General features: G+C 38.9%; 1 long non-coding RNA gene across 2 annotated transcripts in view, besides 2 other annotated features; it reads left to right on the plus strand.

The window, feature by feature from the left end:
- The window catches only part of LOC124901018 (uncharacterized), a 48297-nt gene extending 44730 nt beyond the window's left edge, over positions 1 to 3567 (plus strand). The window contains exon 6 of one of the 2 annotated variants that reach the window (XR_007058843.1): positions 2501 to 3567. This is a non-coding gene — a long non-coding RNA (uncharacterized LOC124901018). The remainder of the gene's footprint in view (positions 1 to 2500) is intronic. The other variant, XR_007058844.1, reaches the window with a different exon arrangement.
- Positions 3072 to 3670: an enhancer, noted in NCBI's record as "OCT4-NANOG-H3K27ac hESC enhancer chr5:81196818-81197416 (GRCh37/hg19 assembly coordinates)". NCBI's record gives its function as "activates a minimal SCP1, AML or CMV promoter by ChIP-STARR-seq in naive H9 embryonic stem cells {active_cell/tissue: H9 hESC(naive)}" and the evidence as "EXISTENCE:reporter gene assay evidence [ECO:0000049][PMID:30033119]".
- Positions 3671 to 4268: an enhancer, noted in NCBI's record as "H3K27ac hESC enhancer chr5:81197417-81198014 (GRCh37/hg19 assembly coordinates)". NCBI's record gives its function as "activates a minimal SCP1, AML or CMV promoter by ChIP-STARR-seq in primed H9 embryonic stem cells {active_cell/tissue: H9 hESC(primed)}" and the evidence as "EXISTENCE:reporter gene assay evidence [ECO:0000049][PMID:30033119]".

The raw sequence follows: 18632 nt of genomic DNA on the forward strand, positions 1-18632 counted from the left end.
CTAGGTCTTAAAGATATTATTTAGTAAGTGCTTATGAATTCCTATTATGTGCAAGACACTATGTGGACATGATACAGGGTCAACGGCATAGTATGTGGCCTGTGCAATCACAAAGGACCCTGTGCCTGTTTTAATTCTCTGCTGTCGTCATCTTGAAATTCTTAATAAGTTTTCAACAAGAGGCTGCACATTTTCATTTTGCATTAGGCCCTGCACATTATGTAGCCAATTCTGTTATGATGAATAGGAAATTCTTTTTGTTCAGAATAATAACTGATGTTTCTAAAAATTACCATGTATTATTCAGAAAACATTAAATTCTGTTAAATAAACTGTTTAAGAAGACTGAGAAATATAGAGTACATTTTAGAAACATCTTACCGAACATGATGTAAATAAAAAAGTTTTGACATTTACAGGTAAGCTTTAGTTATCTGAAAAAATCACTTATTTAGAACAGTCAAGTGTCTGATAAATAAAATGTCAATATATTTTTCAATAACTAGAAAGAGAGAAACTGCAGGCTTTGTTATGGTAGCAGTTCTTAGGGTTTGGAGATTTGTATTGCTAAGGTTTTGGGGATTACGAAGTAAAACTTTTGAAGTAGATTTTTCCCAGTTTAGTATTGGTATAACATACAGGAAGGAACTAGTTGTGACACCCTCAATAAGTTACTTAACCTCTCCTAATCTTAGTTCCCCTTTCTGTAAAATGAGGATGACATGTAGCTGACAAGTCTATGTGGAAGATTAGACTTTTAGCACTGTGTCATATGAGGTACTCAATAAATGTCCCTTTCTTGGTGAAAATGTAAATTAGTATAACCATTGGAAAACTGTATGGCGGTTCTTCAAAAAAACTAAAAATAGAATTACCATATGATCCAGCAATCCAACTTCGGGGTATTTACCAAAAATATTTGAAATTTGTTTGTCAAAGAGAAATCGGCACTTTCATGTTCATTGCAGCACTATTCACAATGGCCAAGTTACAGAATCAACCTAAGTGTCCATGAACGAACAGATGAATGGATAAAGAAAATGCATATATACACTATGGAATACTACGTAGCCTTAAAAAGGAAGGAAATATGGTCATTTGTGACAACATGGGTGGAATTAGAGAATATTATGCTAAATGAAATAAGCCAAACACAGAAAGACAAATGCTGCATGTTCTCACTTACTTGTGGAATCAACAACAATTGAATTCATAGAAGCAGAGTAGAATGGTGGTTACAGAAGCTGGGGATGTTGGGAGAATGGGGAGATGATGGTCAAAGGATACCAAGTCTCAGGTAGGAGAAATAAACCGAATAATGGTTTTATTTTTTTGAGATCTATTTCACAGCATGGTGAATATAGTAAATAATAGTGTGTCATACATTTCAAAATTGCTAACAGAGCAAATTTCAAATGTTCCCACCCCAAAACATGGTAAGTATTTAAAGTGATGAATATGTTTATTAGTTTAATTATTTCACATTAATTCACAAATCATAACATCACTTTGTACCCCATAAATACATACAATTATGAATCGTCAATTTACATTACATTTTATAAAGAAGTTTTAAAAATTAAATAAATAAATGTCCCTTTCCCCAATCCCTTTTCAAATATCTTTTAAGCACCTACTGTGTGCTATGATTCATTCTAAGCACTGTGGACACAGCTGAGTAAAAATCCTCATTATCAAGGAGATCATATTCTAGTAAAGAAAGGTGATCGGTAGCCTGAGAGTTAATTATGATCATTTTCGGCGGCAATATGCGTTCATGGAGATTAAATGGACGGGGGCTGCTTTAGTTAAATCGGTGGTCAAGGAGCAGCTGTCTGGGTAGGTGGCAAGTACATTGAGATCTGAACAATGAAATTGAGGCAGTTAGTGGGGATTAATGAAGTGCTACAGCGAATTCTAAAAAGATCTAAGAGATTTGTTTTCACTTTAATCGCTGTTATCATGGGCCTAATTACAGTCACTGCAATGGCCACCACTGCCGGAATGGCATTACACCAATCCATTCAAACGGCTCATTTTGTTAATGATTGGCAAGCCAATTCCACCCAAATGTGGAATTCTCAACAAGGCATCGATCAAAAATTGGCAAATCAAATTAATGATTTAAGACAGTCTGTTATTTGGCTTGGAGATCGGGTAGTGAGTCTCGAGCATCGCATGCAAATGCAGTGCGATTGGAATACTTCAGATTTCTGCATCACCCCGTATTTCTATAATGAGAATGATCATTCATGGGAAATGGTCAAAAGACACCTTCTGGGTAGGGAAGATAATTTATCACTGGACGTAACTAAATTAAAGAAACAAATTTTTGAAGCCTCTCAAGCTCACTTATCCATTGTGCCTGGAGCTGAGGCGTTAGATCAGGTGGCAGAAAATCTTTATGGATTAAACCCCACGACTTGGATTAAGTCTATTGGGGGCTCCACCGTAGTAAATTTTAGAATTATATTTCTCTGTTTAATCGGCTTGCTTTTAGTGTGCCGGACCAGTCAAAGAATCCTGCGTCAAAATCAAGAGAATGAACAAGCCTTCATCGCCATGGCACATTTATATAAAAAGAAAGGGAGAGAAGTTGGGGGAAGTCAGGGACCCCAAACAGAGGGACTGGCTGAAGCCATGGCAGAAGAACGTGGATTGTGAAGATTTCATGGACATTTATTAGTTCCCCAAATTAATACTTTTATAATTTCTTATGCCTGTCTTTACTGCAATCTCTAAACAAAAATTGTGAAGATTTCATGGACACTTATCACCTCCCCAATCAATACCCTTGTGATTTCCTAGGCCTGTCTTTACTTTAATCTCTTAATCCTGTCATCTTATAAGCTAAGGAGGATGTATGTTGTCTCAGGACCATGTGATAATTGCGTTAACTGCACAAATTGTAGAGCATGTGTGTTTGAACAAATATGAAATCTGGGCACCTTGAAAAAAGAACAGGATAACAGCAATTGTTCAGGGAATAAGAGAGATAACCTTAAACTCTGACCGCCAGTGAGCCGGGCGGAACAGAGCCATATTTCTCTTCTTTCAAAAGCAAATGGGAGAAATATCGCTGAATTCTTTTTCTCAGCAAGGAACATCCCTGGGAAAGAGAAAACACACCTGGGGGTATAGGTCTATAGATGGCCCCCCCGGGTGTGGTCGTCTTTTATGGTCTGTAGACTGTAGGGGTGAAATAGATCCCAGTCTCCCATAGCACTCCCAGGCTTATTAGGAAGAGGAAATTCCCGCCTAATAAATTTTGGTCAGACCGGTTGCTCTCAAAACTCTGTCTCCTGATAAGATGTTATCAATGACAATGGGGCCCGAAACTTCATTAGCAATTTTAATTTCGCCCCGGTCCTGTGGTCCTGTGATCTTGCCCTGCCTCCATTTGCCTTGTGATAGTCTATTACCTTGTAAAGTACGTGATCTTTGTGACTGACACCTTATTCGTACACTCCCTCCCCTTTTGAAAATCCCTAATAAAAACTTGCTGGTTTTGTGGCTTGTGGGGCATCACAGAACCTACGGACATGTGATGTCTCCCCTGGATGACCAGCTTTAAAATTTCTCTCCTTTGTACTCTGTCCCTTTATTTCTCAAATGGGCTGATGCTTAGGGAAAACAGAAAAGAACCTACGTGACTATCGGGGTAGGTTCCCTGATAAGTATTCTTAGCAGAAGGCACAGCAAGAGCAAAGGCCCCCAGAGTGGAATGAACTCGGTTTGTGCGGAGACCTGAGAAGCCCTGGTGGCCAGCACACTTGGAACAAGGGGTGGGGCGGCTATGAGTAGATACGCCGCGGGGTCCTGGAGGGCTCCCAGGAGCACAGGCACGTCCTGGTGCAGAAGAGGCCTGCAGAGGGCTGCAGGCAGGGCAGATATATGTGATTTACACGTCAGGAAGATTCTTTCAGCTGGCTGCTCTGGGAAGGATAAATCAGACGGACAGGAGGGAGGCAGGAAGGCTGGCCAAGTGACCATTTATAGGGGGGACGTTGCATCTAGAGGTGTGGTCTTGGGAGCCAGTAAGCAGGAGTTGGATTCAGAATGGACTTTGGAGGGAGAGCTCACAGGATATACTATTGGATTACATGTAAGGGTGAGAAAAGGAGAGGGTTTTTTGTTATTCCTGATGAAAAATGTATTTCATACTCATTACAGAAAACCTATAAATCTTAGGACAGTGTCATCAGGCTACCTATTTTAATGTGTAAACTTAGCTTTTCCTTGAACAAGAATTCTACCATTACTGTTATTCTTTTGAAGATTTCAATGTGCCTTATGAGAGGTTTGGAGGATTATTGAAGTTTAAAACAACAAAAATTGGAGAGAAAAACCCATTTCACCCTGTTTAATATAGAATTTCCTAATTGCGTTGGATCTTAAAATCTTATTTGCTTATTTATTTTTTTGGATGGCTGTTTTGTATAACATCTATTACCATCCCTATCAATTACTACCAGAAAACATGATCTAATGCTGCATCGGATCTTTCCCCCTTGTTTCTCAATATTTTTCTTACAGGTCAAATTAGATCCGGAAGTTCCAAGCTCAGACTCATTTATGTGGTGCACCAACACAGTTCTCCATGAAAACTTTATGGGGATTTAACCTTGTGTTGGCTTTTATCCCTTTTCTTAACATTCTAAAAGGCAAATGTTGTCTGGTTCTTTGTTTCATAGGTTTTGTTTGTTTGTTTTTACTGTGTTCCTAATCTAGAGCTGTTCTATCTACCAACTATTCTGAAAAAAAGAGGCAGGGAACTTGTATAAAATTATGTTTAAAATTGGTATTGTCTCACAAATGTCTTTCTCTTCATGTAGAAAGTGATAGCCAGAGGATTATGACCTAAGCTGATAGCATTCCACTAGTACAGATAAGGAAAACTGAGTTTTAAAGCCAATAATGCACATCTAAGTGTACAGACAAACTCCTTAATTTAAATCTAAGCTTGTTTACTTAATTTGTAATTTGGGAGCAACAGAAGTGGGTATTTAGTGAGGGCCCAAATATCCCGGAGGGGTAGTAGGACAAATATATATTTTCTTTGTCCTTGTATGACTTGGAATCGTCTAAACTGTCAAGAAAAGAAAAAACAAAAACATATTGTTTTCAATATTTTGGTCAAATGTTGGTAATAATAATAATGAATTCTTTTATGCCCTGGCAGCAATTGGTGCTGTTTATATCATTAAGGTAGACAAAGTGTGCCTTACACTCAGCTTTAAGATTTTAATAAAGGAAAAAATCTGTTGGAAGTGTGGAGTATTATCACACTTAAAGAAGCCAATTAAATTAGTCTCCTGATACAGCCTACTTTATAAACTCATTTATCACACAAGTTAGCTGGGTCTGACCTTTCCACCCCTTCTTGGATAAGGATGGTACCAATTTCTCAGTGGCAAAATTATTGATTTTTTTGACACGGCTTCTTTTCCAGTTTGATTTTCCTTTTCCACATTTCTATTCTTGTGTCATCTCAAGCAGAGACTAGGGTCCCATTTACACATTGGCAAGAAAAATGATGTTTGGGAGGGTATGGGAAGCTATACCTTAATGTCCAAGCTAATTATCCACACCCACACCTCATAAATTAACCAGTTTCAACCCCGTGAGCTCTAATACCATTTTCCTGAATTTTAATACTGATTCCTACATGTTAAATGACAATACATTTGTTGCGTGCAATGTTGACTTAACACGTTTGCTAAGCTATTTGAGATTGTTTCCCTTTATCAACAATTTTTCCTGGTTTGGGAAAGGCATCTCTTTCCAAGGAATAATTAGAAAGTAACTACAGCCTTTTACCAGAGTTGAGAGATTTAAAGAAATTAACTATCTTATTGCAGAAACTTTATCTGAAGTCAGTATTTGTAAAAGATAAAGATTTTCCCAGAAAAATAAGAGGGAAAGGGGTCATAGACGGAAAGGAACTTACATTTATTGTGTACTCATTATAAGCCAGAAACTATGCTGGGAGTTCTATATACACTATCCCCTTTAACACCATGAGATGGTCTTTTATCTGCATTCCGTAGGTAGTGAACTGAAGCTCAGAGAGGCGAGAAACTCATGCAATTAGCTGATGGATGTTTGGCCTGGGCTCTAACACCAAGTCTATTGGACTAAATTCCATTCTCCTTCCTCTCCACTATGCGTTGCTGCTTCTGTTGGCATGATCAATACAGTCTCAACACTCTGAGGGTCGCAGCAACCCAGTGACCACAACTGCTTCAGATCTTCAGAGTTCCCTTGACTTCTTTCTCAGTACTGTTGATGGAATGGCAGGAGACTATTATCTGATGTAACTTGAATCTCTCACTCATGGTCAAAAGTAGGCAGTCTCCTAGTGTGAAGCTGGAACACCAAAAAACTCTGGGTGTTCTCACAAGGACAAGCAAGACTATCACCACTTCCTAACAATGGCGGGCTTTGTTTTTTCTTAGTAGCTGGGCTTTTGTTCTAAGGAAGGACATTATACATTTTCCTCTGTGCTATTCACGCTATTATTGGTAGCCACGTAGGCCAACTGCATGAATCACTGATAGGTTCAATACACTAGTATTCTAGACTATTATTCTTAGTTTTTACAAGACTGTTGGGATGTCTGGTTATCAGAAGCTAAGAAAGAACACTAGGGGTGGCATTCCTCTGCGTATATACACTTTTATAAACATCAATGCTAAGATGACATTCCTCATTTCTCTGGATTATGTTAAAGTTCCCTAAACATAGTCCATTTTTTCTCAGACCAAATTTCAAAGGACTATCAAGTTCTAAAACAAATTTGAAATATGTGTATATTAGGATTGAGAAGTAACAATTAGTCTCAGGGCCAGGCAAAGTGGCTCATATCTGTAATGCCAGCACTTTGGGAGGCCAAGGCGGGTGGATCACCTGAGGTCAGGAGTTTGAACCAGCCTGGCCTACATGGTGAAACCCCATCTCTACTAAAAATACAAAAAATAGCCAGGTTTGGTGGCACATGCACATGCCTGTAATTCCAGCTACTCAGGAGGCTAAGGCAGGAGAATTGCTTGAGCCCAGGAAGCAAAGGTTGCAGTGAGTGGAGATGCACCACTGCATTCCAGCCTGGGCGACAGAGCAGGAAAGAATCCATCTCAAAAAAAAAAAAAAAAAGAAAAAAGAAAGCAGGCAAAAGAATTAGTCTCAGGGTTTTTTGTTTGTTTGTTTTGATAAAATATAATGGCATTTCTCTTACTCCAATTCCTATGATTCACCCAGGTCAGAGTTAAAGTTGTCGGATAGCTTCTTCTAATAGAAGCAAAAAGGGATTCTATTTGAGTAATCAAGTTTATTATTTTCCAACAATTAAGGACATAGGGATGTAAAGAAATCTCAAATTTTAAAACTCACTTTTTTTTCTGACTACTAAGGTAATATCATTTTACTAAAATTTTTAGAAGATACACATAAGAAAAAAGAAAATTAAAATGATCTACTGACTTAATATACCAATAAAATCTTTCCACACCTAAATATAATAATTATTTTTATTTATTTATTTATTTTTTTGAGACAGAGTCTCACTCTGCCACCCAGGCTGGAGTATAGTGGTGCGATCTCGGGTCACTGTAACCTCCACTTTCCGACTCAAGCGATCCTCCTGCCTCAGCCTCCCAAGTAGCTAGGATCACAGGCACGTCTGGCTAACTTTTGTATTTTTAGTAGAGATGGAGTTTCACCACGTTGGCCTGGCTGGTCTCAAAACTGCTGACCTTAGGCGATCTGCCCGCCTCAGCCTCCCAAAGTGCTGGGATTACAGGTGTGAGTCACTGCACCTGGCCAAGATAATCATTATTAACATTTATGTAGACTAGGTGCAGTGGCTCATACCCGTAATCTCAGTGCTTTGGGAGGCCAAGGCGGGAGGATTGCTTGAGGCCAGGAGTTCAAGACCAGCCTGGGCAACATAGAGAGACCCTGTCTCTACAAAAATATTTTAAAATTAGCTGGGCATGGTGGCACGTGCGTGTAGTCCCAGCTATTTGGAAGGCTGAGGCGGAAAGGTAGCTTGAGCCCAGGAGTTTGAGGCTGCAGTGAGTTATGATTGTGCCACTACACTCCAGCCTGAGTGACAGAGCAAAAATCTGTCTCTTAAAAAAAAAAGTTCTTTTCTCTTAGCATTTTAAATAACATTGGTATATTAAGTCAGGAATCTTAATTGCAAGCAACATAATGAGCTGTCACTCCTTTAAGTAGAAAGGAATTTATTGAAGGTATTTGGTAGCTCAGAAATTCACAGGAAAGCCTGGGGAACCGGTGCTGAAAAAGAGTGGCTGTAGGAGTGACAAATGGGAGGTTGATAAGCCATGGCTAGAGGCTGGAGCGTGTGCCGTGGAATGATTCTGGCGTGGCTCCCATGCTGCTGTGATAAAGACCTTTGAAGCCTGCACCTTTGCCACTGCTGGCCTAGACACTGATACTGGCTCTGCCATCCCTCCTGCTTTGGAGACATCATTGCTTTCCCTGATGGGATGTGGTTTCCACTACCCTTTCGTCTGTGGGTCACTGATTCTTAATTCCAAGTCCAGGTGAGTCTGGGCATCTGATCAAGTCCAGGCTCCATGCCTGCCCCAGCTGTAAAGGAGCAGTGAGAGAAAGACTCCTAATTTCTTGCCTCTCTAAAGGTGAGGGGCCTTCACTGTGCATGAAGAAATCACGTGGTGGAAATTCTTCAAACCTGGGAAGGGAGTTCAGATGCTGAGCAGCCAAATCCCACATGATGTTTGCCACAGTGAGCTCATCCAGCTTTATATAGCTCTGCATCCTGCTTTCCCCTCAAACGTTAAATCATGACTATTTTCCTAAAACATAAAGTATTTTTCAAAATTAAGATTTTTGATAACTGTGTAATAAGAGTCTCAACTTGATCAGTAAATAGCATATGTCATATCAATTGTCCTAAATAAGGCTTGAAAATCGTAGGAGTTACAATGGTAGAAGCAGCAACCTCAGCATAGGCATTTGTGAATTCTTTTTCCAGCTTCAGTTAGTGCTCAACAGGGAGGAGGCCACCACCTCTTGAGCTCAAGCCGTCATGTCTTGGGGCACTGCCTAAGATGGCCTAGTTAATCTGAGTGAGGCAGGACAGCCTAGAAGGGCAGGCTCAGGTGCTATCTCTGCCTACTTGGCTGGGGCAGGCAGTGGGGGCACGAACCCAGCTGCAGGAGCTGAAAGGGAGTTCAGTCCAACAGCAAAGGAACTCAATATCTGACCAGGTTGCAGTGCAGTAGAGGCTGTCAGCCTTGGTGCATGATGACTCAGGAAGAATCCAGCACTGTGGACATTCAGGATTGAGAGTTCCAGCTTTTGGCCTGAGGTTTAAGAGCAGCCTAGGGACTAAAATATAAGAACAAGTTGGGCATTAGTTTTAGATGAACTCATATAATAAATGAATTACCAAGACAAGGACAAGAGATACAGCAGGGCTGCAGTTAAAAGATTGGTGAAAGCAGGTTTTGCAAGTCTGGGTATTGGAATTAAGGGACACGCTCTGCTAGCTGCCCAGGAGTGTGATATTGGATTTCAGGCTCAGTTTTTAAAAAGTTGTTCCTGACTGAGGTTTGGCCTGGGAAATTCAATTGTGGGAAGGGTTTGACAGTACAGCTTCAGAAGGAAGGATCCTTCTGAAGGATACCCCCGTGCGGACAGCTTCTGGGGCTGGAGGAAACAAGGCCATGGGAGAAAAGCTATGTTCACCAAGGTAATGCATCTGTGTGTCAGGAAGGCAGGCTGGAAACAATGCGTGCAGGTGCAGAGTGGGCTCGAGGAGCTCTACCTGACGGTGCTGCAGAAAGCTGTCCTCCTCCCTGTCTTGGCTTCTCTGAGGCAGTGGAAAGCTACCTCTTTTGTTCTCTCTGGGATGCCATGAAAAGGTCCGCTTCTCTTGTTCGGTTTGTATATGGTGTTCTGGCCCCTGTGGATTTCTTCAACATAAGAGTTTTCCAATATCCCAGCAACCATTTATAAAAACCACGGCTCAACTCCTTTGCCCTGGAGACTCATCTTTTAGATCATCTGCAACTTGTTGAATGCAGAAGGATCCAGCGAACCCACATAGAGCAAACACCACACATTGAGTTATAGCCCTCAGGTACAATGGAATTAACTGGAATAGAAATTGTCATTCTACTTCATGTAACTTTACGTTTTAATGCCATGGAATTTTAGCCACAGAACGTGTCAGCAGCATGTTTTGCACTGACGAAAAAGAGAGACTACTACGTCGGCCACAGTGTCATTACTCTTCCTTCTGCATAACTACGTCCATGCCAGACGTGTGGCGTCTGCAGAGGACTGGCTGTGAACCCAGCAGACCCACGTTACCATAAATGATCGTCATCATCCCTCAGGAGGCTGCACCACATTTGCCCACAACCATTGGATGGACCTACCTTTTAAAAATAGATGTGTTTTTGCACTCTTGAAACTACTTATTTTCTTACTCTTTGTCACAGCCAGCCTAGTTTAAGCTGATGGTAAAAAGAGGTTTTGGAGGTTTTCCACCACAAGGTTATTTAAAGTTCTTTGAGCTGCCGCCAGACCTTCATTTAGCATTTTAATAAACTTCCTGGGCCAAGGAGTAATTTTCCTGTATTCTCTTTGTCCTCAGCATGAAGTAATAGTACAAAAGAGGGTCATCATTTTTAGGCCAGTCATCTGCATCAATTATAAAATTATCCTCATGAATAACCAGATATAAGGTCTAGGATATAGAAAAAGGGGAGCAGGTTTCTTTCTGTGATTAACATTAAGGGGGGGTCATAGACACATCAAGGATTTAAGAAAGTGCCAACAGAAACATTTTTTACACAGACAGTTAGAAAGGACCTTTTAAAAATTGCACATACAGTCGAGTTATAGCAAGATAACTAGAATTAAATTGCCTAAACATTTGCTTACTTGAGGTGTCCTTATCTGAGCCTCTCTAAAAGCAGAAGTACCAATAGACTCACATGTTTACACAATGATATGGAAATCGACCTCCAAGACTGTTGTACGGATCCCCAGAGAATTTTTTGGAACCCGCATCTCTGGGTGCAGTGTGATGTCACTTTTCACTGTTTCTAGGCATTGGGCCAAAACTCAATTTCAGGAAAATAATTGCAAAAATGTTTAAATAATTTGCATGAGGTTTGTGAAAGCAAAGGAAAGGCTGCCTACTCCATTCCCAAAGGAGATTTCAAGACACAATCAATGTTAGGCCGCAAAACACTGTTTAGACAGAATAATTATCAGCCCTTTCCTTTCTCTTTCATTATTAAACTGAGGCCTATTCCCTCTGAGGGTTTCACCTGGCATATGGAAATACTGTTGTTGCTAAGTCTCCTTTATGGAGGTTCAAATAAGCTAAGTAAATTCAGTTTGCTGAATTGGCTCATTCATGGGCATTATTTGACATGAAGTTGTCTCTATGTCATGATTAACTTTTTTGTTTCTCTTCATGTTATAATCAAGTATGATGGAATTATATAGGATGGCTTCCAACTATGTGGAGAATTATTTGAAAATATATTCCAATGCTGCGTTAATTTCATTAAGTGTTGACTTCTTAAAACTGAACTCAAAGAACCCTAAACAACAAGATCTTTAAAACAATATAGAGAAGGATGCTATGGATTGAGATGGTATTAAGACAGAAGTGAAGCCATGCTTAAATTGCATTAAAGTTATCAATGTTCAAATTACAGTACAGTCGTTTCTTTAGGGGACTACTTAAAGTATTACTAGAATTGAATCAAAGTTATTTTTACAAAGATTCTTGAAGTGGCATTATCTAATTTAAAGAGACCTGGCTCCCTTTCATACTGTATTTTATTGATTTTGATAGCTCAGGAATGGAAACATTGAATAAGTGGCACTGTGAAAGTGCAAACAAATACAATTTCACTTCCCCATCACCACCACTTACCATACTCCCCCTTCATACCACATACCCCACACACACTGCCTGTTCAAACGCATTCTGTGAAACTAGTTTTTCCACTGTCTTTGGGCATAGGCTATCATATATGTGTATATATGTGTATATATATGTACACACACACACACACACACAGCTGACCCTTGAACAACATAGGTTTAAGCCATGTGGGTCCACATGTATGTGGATTTTCTTTTTCCTCTGGCACCCCTGACACAGCCAATCCAACCCCTCCTCTTCCTCTTGCCCCTCAGCCTACTCAACATGAAGACAATAAGAATGAAGACCTTTATGATGATCCACTTTCACTTAATGAATAATAAGCATATTTTCTCTGCCTTGTGATTTTCTGAATATCATTTTCTTTTTTCTAGCTTACTTTGTTGTAAGAATACACAATATATTACCTATACAAAATATATATTAATGGACTGTTTATGTCATCCGTAAGGCTTTTGGTCAACAGTAGGCTATTAGTAGTTAAGTTTTCAGGGAGTCAAAAGTTATATGGACTTTTGACTGCGTTGTTCAAGGGTCAACTGTATATACACACATACACACACAGGTAGATATAGATCTAGATATAGATTCTTAGCTAACAAAATATACTGTGGACACTTAATTATAAAAAGAGACTTATGCCAGTAAGTGTTTAGGTCTATGTAATAGTTAAAACTTGAGACATAGATTTTAAGTTAAAGTGTCTCTTCCTGCTTGGGCATGCAGTGGGAAGTGGAGAGAAGTTGGCTGCTTCTCTCTTTACCCTGCCTTCTCTTCCCTGCCACTCTCTGCAGGGAAGTGACTTCTAACCCATGTAGAGTCAGAAGGTGGGTGAGACTGGTGCTGGCATTCTTCAGATGAGGTGGAGTTTAAGTCTGATTTTTTCTGTCATGAGCATGTCTACATGGGCATGTTTATATATTTCTTTCTTTCTTTCTTTTTCCCTTTCTCTTCTTTCTTTCTTCTTCTTCCTTTTTTTTTTTTTTTTTTTTTTTTTTTAGATTCCCACATCATTGGAGATCTCTCACACAAAAGGTCCTTTGGAAAATAGAAATGTATCTTCTCCAGCTGGTCTTTTCTGATTCCTTTGGTAGCACCTGAGTATCTAGCGGAAAACTTTTACCTCTCTGTGCTGAGGTCTCCTCACCCTTTCAGATGAGGCAGCATCTTGGACAGCTCCAGCCTGACTTGCTCCTTCATGGCTCAGTCTGGTCCACAGAACACTGACCTGATGTCCCCTCTACTCTGTGACTATAAGTGGTTTGAACCATTATATATTTTTTCAGGTCTGTGTCAGACTCTAGCCCCCTTATCATATTATAAAGAACATGTAAGATACTTACTGGAAATGGTTCCCAAAGAGACCTTCTCACATTTGAGGTAGAGAAGAAGTGTCCCCCACCCTACCTCCTTTAAGGCAGTTAGGCTCTCAGCACAACTCTCTCCAAGGATATCCTCTATCTTGCCTCTCCAACCTTTTCTTAGAGTAGAGTTGTGTAGTTTTTACCAACTCTTTTGTAAGTCCTGCTTAGATGGCCTCATAACTCACTATGGAATGTCACTGAAGATGGAAACCAGGACCACCACAAATGATTATGCAGTGTGTACCCTATATAAAGATGCCAGGGTAAGGCGATGAAGGAATGCTGAATTCCAGCCCTTGCTCCCCTAGCAGCACATGGGGCCAGAAGAGGCACTTTATTGTAACTCATCTGCCCAGCAGAGGTACTTGTTTGCTAATTTATACAAAGGCACCTATTGCCCTGGAGCCCCCATTGAAACTGAGACAGAGTCTCATTTAAAATCTCATTTCAGTTAGATGAGTTGTAAGATTGGCAGTTTCTCTATAGGAAAGCCATCTACAACTATCAATGACACCTGTGACAACTGTTCAACATCATGTCAGAAAATTGCCAAGAGGCCAAAGCATGTCTATTGTCATCGTACCTCTTCTTATTAGAGCAAAGTATCAGATTTTTCAAAGGAGAGGTATCTTTTCAACAAAGGTGCGAAGACACTTCAGTGGTGAACGGATAGTCTTTTCAACAGAAGGTGTTTGTAGAACTGGATATTCACATGCAAAAGAATGGCCCCTATCTTATACCATGTACAAAAATTAACTCAAAATGGATTATAGACCCAAATGTAAGAGCTAAAACTATAAAAGTCTTAGAAGAAAAACTAGGAGCAAATTTCTGTGGCCTTGGATTAGGCAGTGGCTTCTTAGATATGTCAAGAAGCACAAGTGACCAAAGAAAAGGTAGATAAATTAAACTTAATAAAAATAAAAATTCTTGTCCTTCAAAAGACATCATCAAGAAAGTGAAAAGATGACTCACAGAATGGGAGAAAACATTAACAAATCAACTCTCTGATAAAAATATATATTCGATCCCAGGTTTTAGCACCAAAAAAAAAAAAAAAAAAAAAAAAAAAGAATATATAAAGAACTCTTAAAACAACAAAAAGATAACCTAACAAAAAGACAAAAAGACAACTGGCAAATAATCTGAATAGATATTTCTCCAAAGAAGGTATGCAAATGACCAACAAACACCTAAAAAGATGTTCAACATCATTGACCATCAGGAAATGCAATCAAAACCACAGTAAGACACCACTTCACACACTAACTAGGATGGTTGTAATTTTAAAAATTTATAGATATTAAATATTGATAAGGGTGTGGAGAAATTGGAATCTTCATACACTGCTGGTGGAAATGTAAAATGGTGTGTCCACTTTGGAAGACAGTTCAGCAGTTCTTCACAAAGTTAGGCATAGAATTACCATATGACCCAGAAATTTCATTCCTAGGTATAAACACAAAAGAATTGAAAATATGTGTCCACACAAAAATTTATACATGAATGTTCATAGCAGCAATATTCATAATGGTGAAAAAGTGGAAGCAACCCAAATGTCTATCAGCTGATGAATAGGTAGATACAATTCATGCAATGAATAAATATTACATTCATACAAGGTAGTATTATTCAGCAAAAAATGGAATGAAGAACTGATTCATGCTATGTCTTGGAAAAATCTTGAAAACACCAAGTCAAAGTCACAAAAGACCACATATATAATAGCTTCATTTATATGAAATGTCTGGAATAGGCAAATCCATAGAGGCAGAAAGTAGATATTGGTTGCCTAGGGCAATTTTATTTTATTTATTTTAAAATAAATAAATATATATATATAATTTTACATCCAAAATTAAATATTTTTTATGAATTAAATATTTATTTAAATATTTTTAAATGAAATATTTATTTTGAGACAGAGCTTCACTCCGACACCCAGGCTGGAGTGCAGCGGCGTGATCTTGGCTCACGGCAATTTCCGCCTCCCGAGTTCAAGCGATTCTTCTGCCTCAGCCTCCTGAGTAGCTGGGACTACAGACGCAGGCCACCACACCCAGCTAATTGTTTTGTATTTTTAGTAGAGACAGGGTTTCACCATGTTGGCCAGGGTGCTCTCGAATTCCTGACCTCAAATGATCCACTTGCCTCAACCTCCCACAGTGCTGGGATTACAGGTGTGAGCCACCGCACCCAGCTGTCAATTTTATTTTTGGATTGTTCATTGCTAATGTATAGACATGAAATTGATTTTTGTATAATTTATCTTGTATTCTGCAACCTTGCTGAACTTATTTATTAGTCTTTTAGTGTATTCCTTGGGATTTTCTGTATCTCATTTCATCTGCAAATAGAGATAATTTTACTTCTTCCTTTTCAATTGGAATGCCTTTTATTTTTATTTTTTCACTTTCCTTCACTGGCTAAAACTTCCAATCTTATGTTGAATAGAAGAGATGAGAGCAGACGTTCTTGCTTTATTCCCAGTTAGGGGAAAGGTGTTTAGTATTTCACCATACAGTATGTTCTTTGCTGTGGGTTTTTTGTAGATGGCCTTTGTCGGACTGAGGAAATTTTCTTCTATTCCAAGTTTGTTAAGTTTTTTTTAAGTCGTGAATGGATTTGGAAATTTTGTCAAATGCTTTTTCTGTGTCTATTGAGTTGATGTAGTTTTTGTCATTTATTCTCTATTCATATGGTGTATTTTGTTGAATGATTTTCATATGTTAAACTCACCTTTTATTCTTAGGTAAATTTCACTTGGTCGTGATGTAAATCATTTTTATATGTTGCTGGATTTGCTTTACTGATATGTTGCTGAGGATTTTTGCACCTACATTTATAAGCCCTTTTATTTTTTAGATACTTTATTTTGGTCTGTCTGTCCATTTAACTTTGTTCACTGTATCTTTAGCTGTACAAATGTTTCCAGTTTTTAGGTAAGCAAAGTGGTTAGCATTTTTCCCTATGTCTTCAAAGTATTTTTTCTTGTGGAGAAGGAACTTTCCTTCTGCCAAACCATGAAACTATTTGCCCATATTTTTATTTAATATGATCATTGCTTTTCTTTTATGTTTAGAGAGTTAATTGACAATTTACCTTTATCTAAGCTATATGGTGGAGATCCAATTACCTGCATTTCTGAATTCATTCAATAACTCGCCAATTTATTAAAATTCATTCAGTAAAATAATGAAACACCTGCTGAGTGCTCAGTATCTTTTTAAGTACTGTAAATACAACACTGTATTTAAAAAAATTAGACAAGGTCCTCGTTTTCCTATAGCTTACACAGAGGAGACATTCAACAAAAAATTAAACAAACAACGTAATTTTAGAGAGCTAGAAGTGTTATGAAGAAAATAAAATAGGATGATATTATGGCGAATAAGAAAAGTTTTGTTGGATATGATAACCAGTGAAAGCCCCTCTAAAGTGGCACATTGAGGTTGAGTCCATGATAATGAGGATTCAGCCATATGAAGAGCCAAGAAAAGAGTGTTCTAGGCAGAGGGGTGAGCATAAGCAAAGGCTCTGAGCTGGAGCAAGGTTGGTATATTCAAGCAACAGAATAAAGCCACTATGGGAGGAGTGAAGTTAGTTAGCAGGAGAATATTACCAGATGAGGTCAGAGAGTTGGGTAGGGCCAGTTCATGCAGGGACTTCCAGCCCATGCTAAAGAGGACAGAGGAAGTTATTAAGCAGGAGAGCATCTGTCTTAGTCTGTTCGTGTTGCTATAAAGGAATACTTGAGGCTGGGTAATTTATAAAGAAGAGAGGTTTATTTGGCTCACAGTTCTACAGGCTACACAAGAAGCATGGCACAGGCATCTGCATCTGGTATAGGCCTGAAACTCCTTCCACTCATGGTGGAAGGCAAAGGGGAGCTGGCTTGGGTAGATATCATAAGACAAGAGAGGAGGCAGGAGAGAGAGGGAAGGTGCCAGGCTCTTTTTAACAACCAGCTTTCAGAGGAACTTCTGTGGGAATGAATACAGCAAGAACTCACTTAGCCCCACTCCCTGGGGAGGGCACTAATCTATTCATGAAGGATCCACCCCCATGACCCAAACACCTCCCATTAAGCCTCTCCTCTAACATTAGAGATCACATTTCAACATGAGGTTTGAAAGGCTAAATATCCAAACTATAGTAGTATCCAATCCAAGTTACACTTTTAAAGAATCCCTTTGACTACTGTCTGAAGAATGAATAGTAGTGCAACAATAGAGAAAGTGGAGAGATCAGTTAGAAAGGAAGATGGTGAGTTGAACTATGGAGGTACATATGAATATGGAGAGAATTGGACAGATTTGAGATATATATTGGAAACAAAAATAATATCTGACATTTATTGAACACATAATATGTATCAACTATTGTTCCCATCTCTTAACAACACACTAATTCTCCCTGTTACCCTATGAATTAGAAAATAGCATTGCCTTTGTTTTACAGATGAGACAACTTGATCAAATGTAAGTAACTTGCCTGAGGTTACAGAGTTGGTAAATGGTAGAGCCAGTATCTGAACCCAGATAGTTTGATTCGAGGGCTCATGTTCTTAACCACTCACTTATTCTCTTTTCCATGGGCATACTGGTAGAGTGAATGTTGGAGGTTGAAGGAAATAGAGAAATTACTAAGAGATGACTTAGGTTTTTGGATAGAGGACCTTGGTAGACAGTTATTTACTAAGATAGAAAATTTTAAAGAGGCTACTAATCTCAGATGAGTGTATGGGTTTGGTGGTGAGGGGTGGTAGTGGAAGAAGAATTACTTGCTATATTCTAGAAATGTTAAATTTTAGATATCCCAAATGGAATGTCAAGTAGGCAGTTGAATGTATGAAGCTAGACTTTAGGAGTTAGATAAGGACTGGAGAGAGAAATTTAAGACCCACTAGTAAAGTTGGTATTAAAGCCAGAGTCCTAGATGAAGTCGATGTAGAAAAGAATAAGGCCCATGTTCAAGTTCTGGTGCACTTAGTTGGAGAAAGAGAAGCAAATAAATGAGGCAGAAAAAGAGCAGCCAGCAAGGTCAGGTTGCAGCTAGCAGAGTGTGCAGCTTGTGAATCATGAGGCAATGATTCCAAAACACAAATTATTGAACAACGATTCTTTTCCCCACCAATCTGAAATACCACCATTATCATATTTTCGCCATATTTATTCAGGTTTGTCTTCAGACACTTCCACTCTACTTGTCTAATCTCAGCAAATACAAGGTTCTGTACCAATCATTGCTTTACATTAGGTTGTACTTTTCAGTTTCTGGCTGTTCTTACATATTTTTTTTTATAGATC

Source organism: Homo sapiens, chromosome 5, assembly GCF_000001405.40.
Source record: "Homo sapiens chromosome 5, GRCh38.p14 Primary Assembly".
Lineage (NCBI taxonomy): Eukaryota > Metazoa > Chordata > Mammalia > Primates > Hominidae > Homo > Homo sapiens.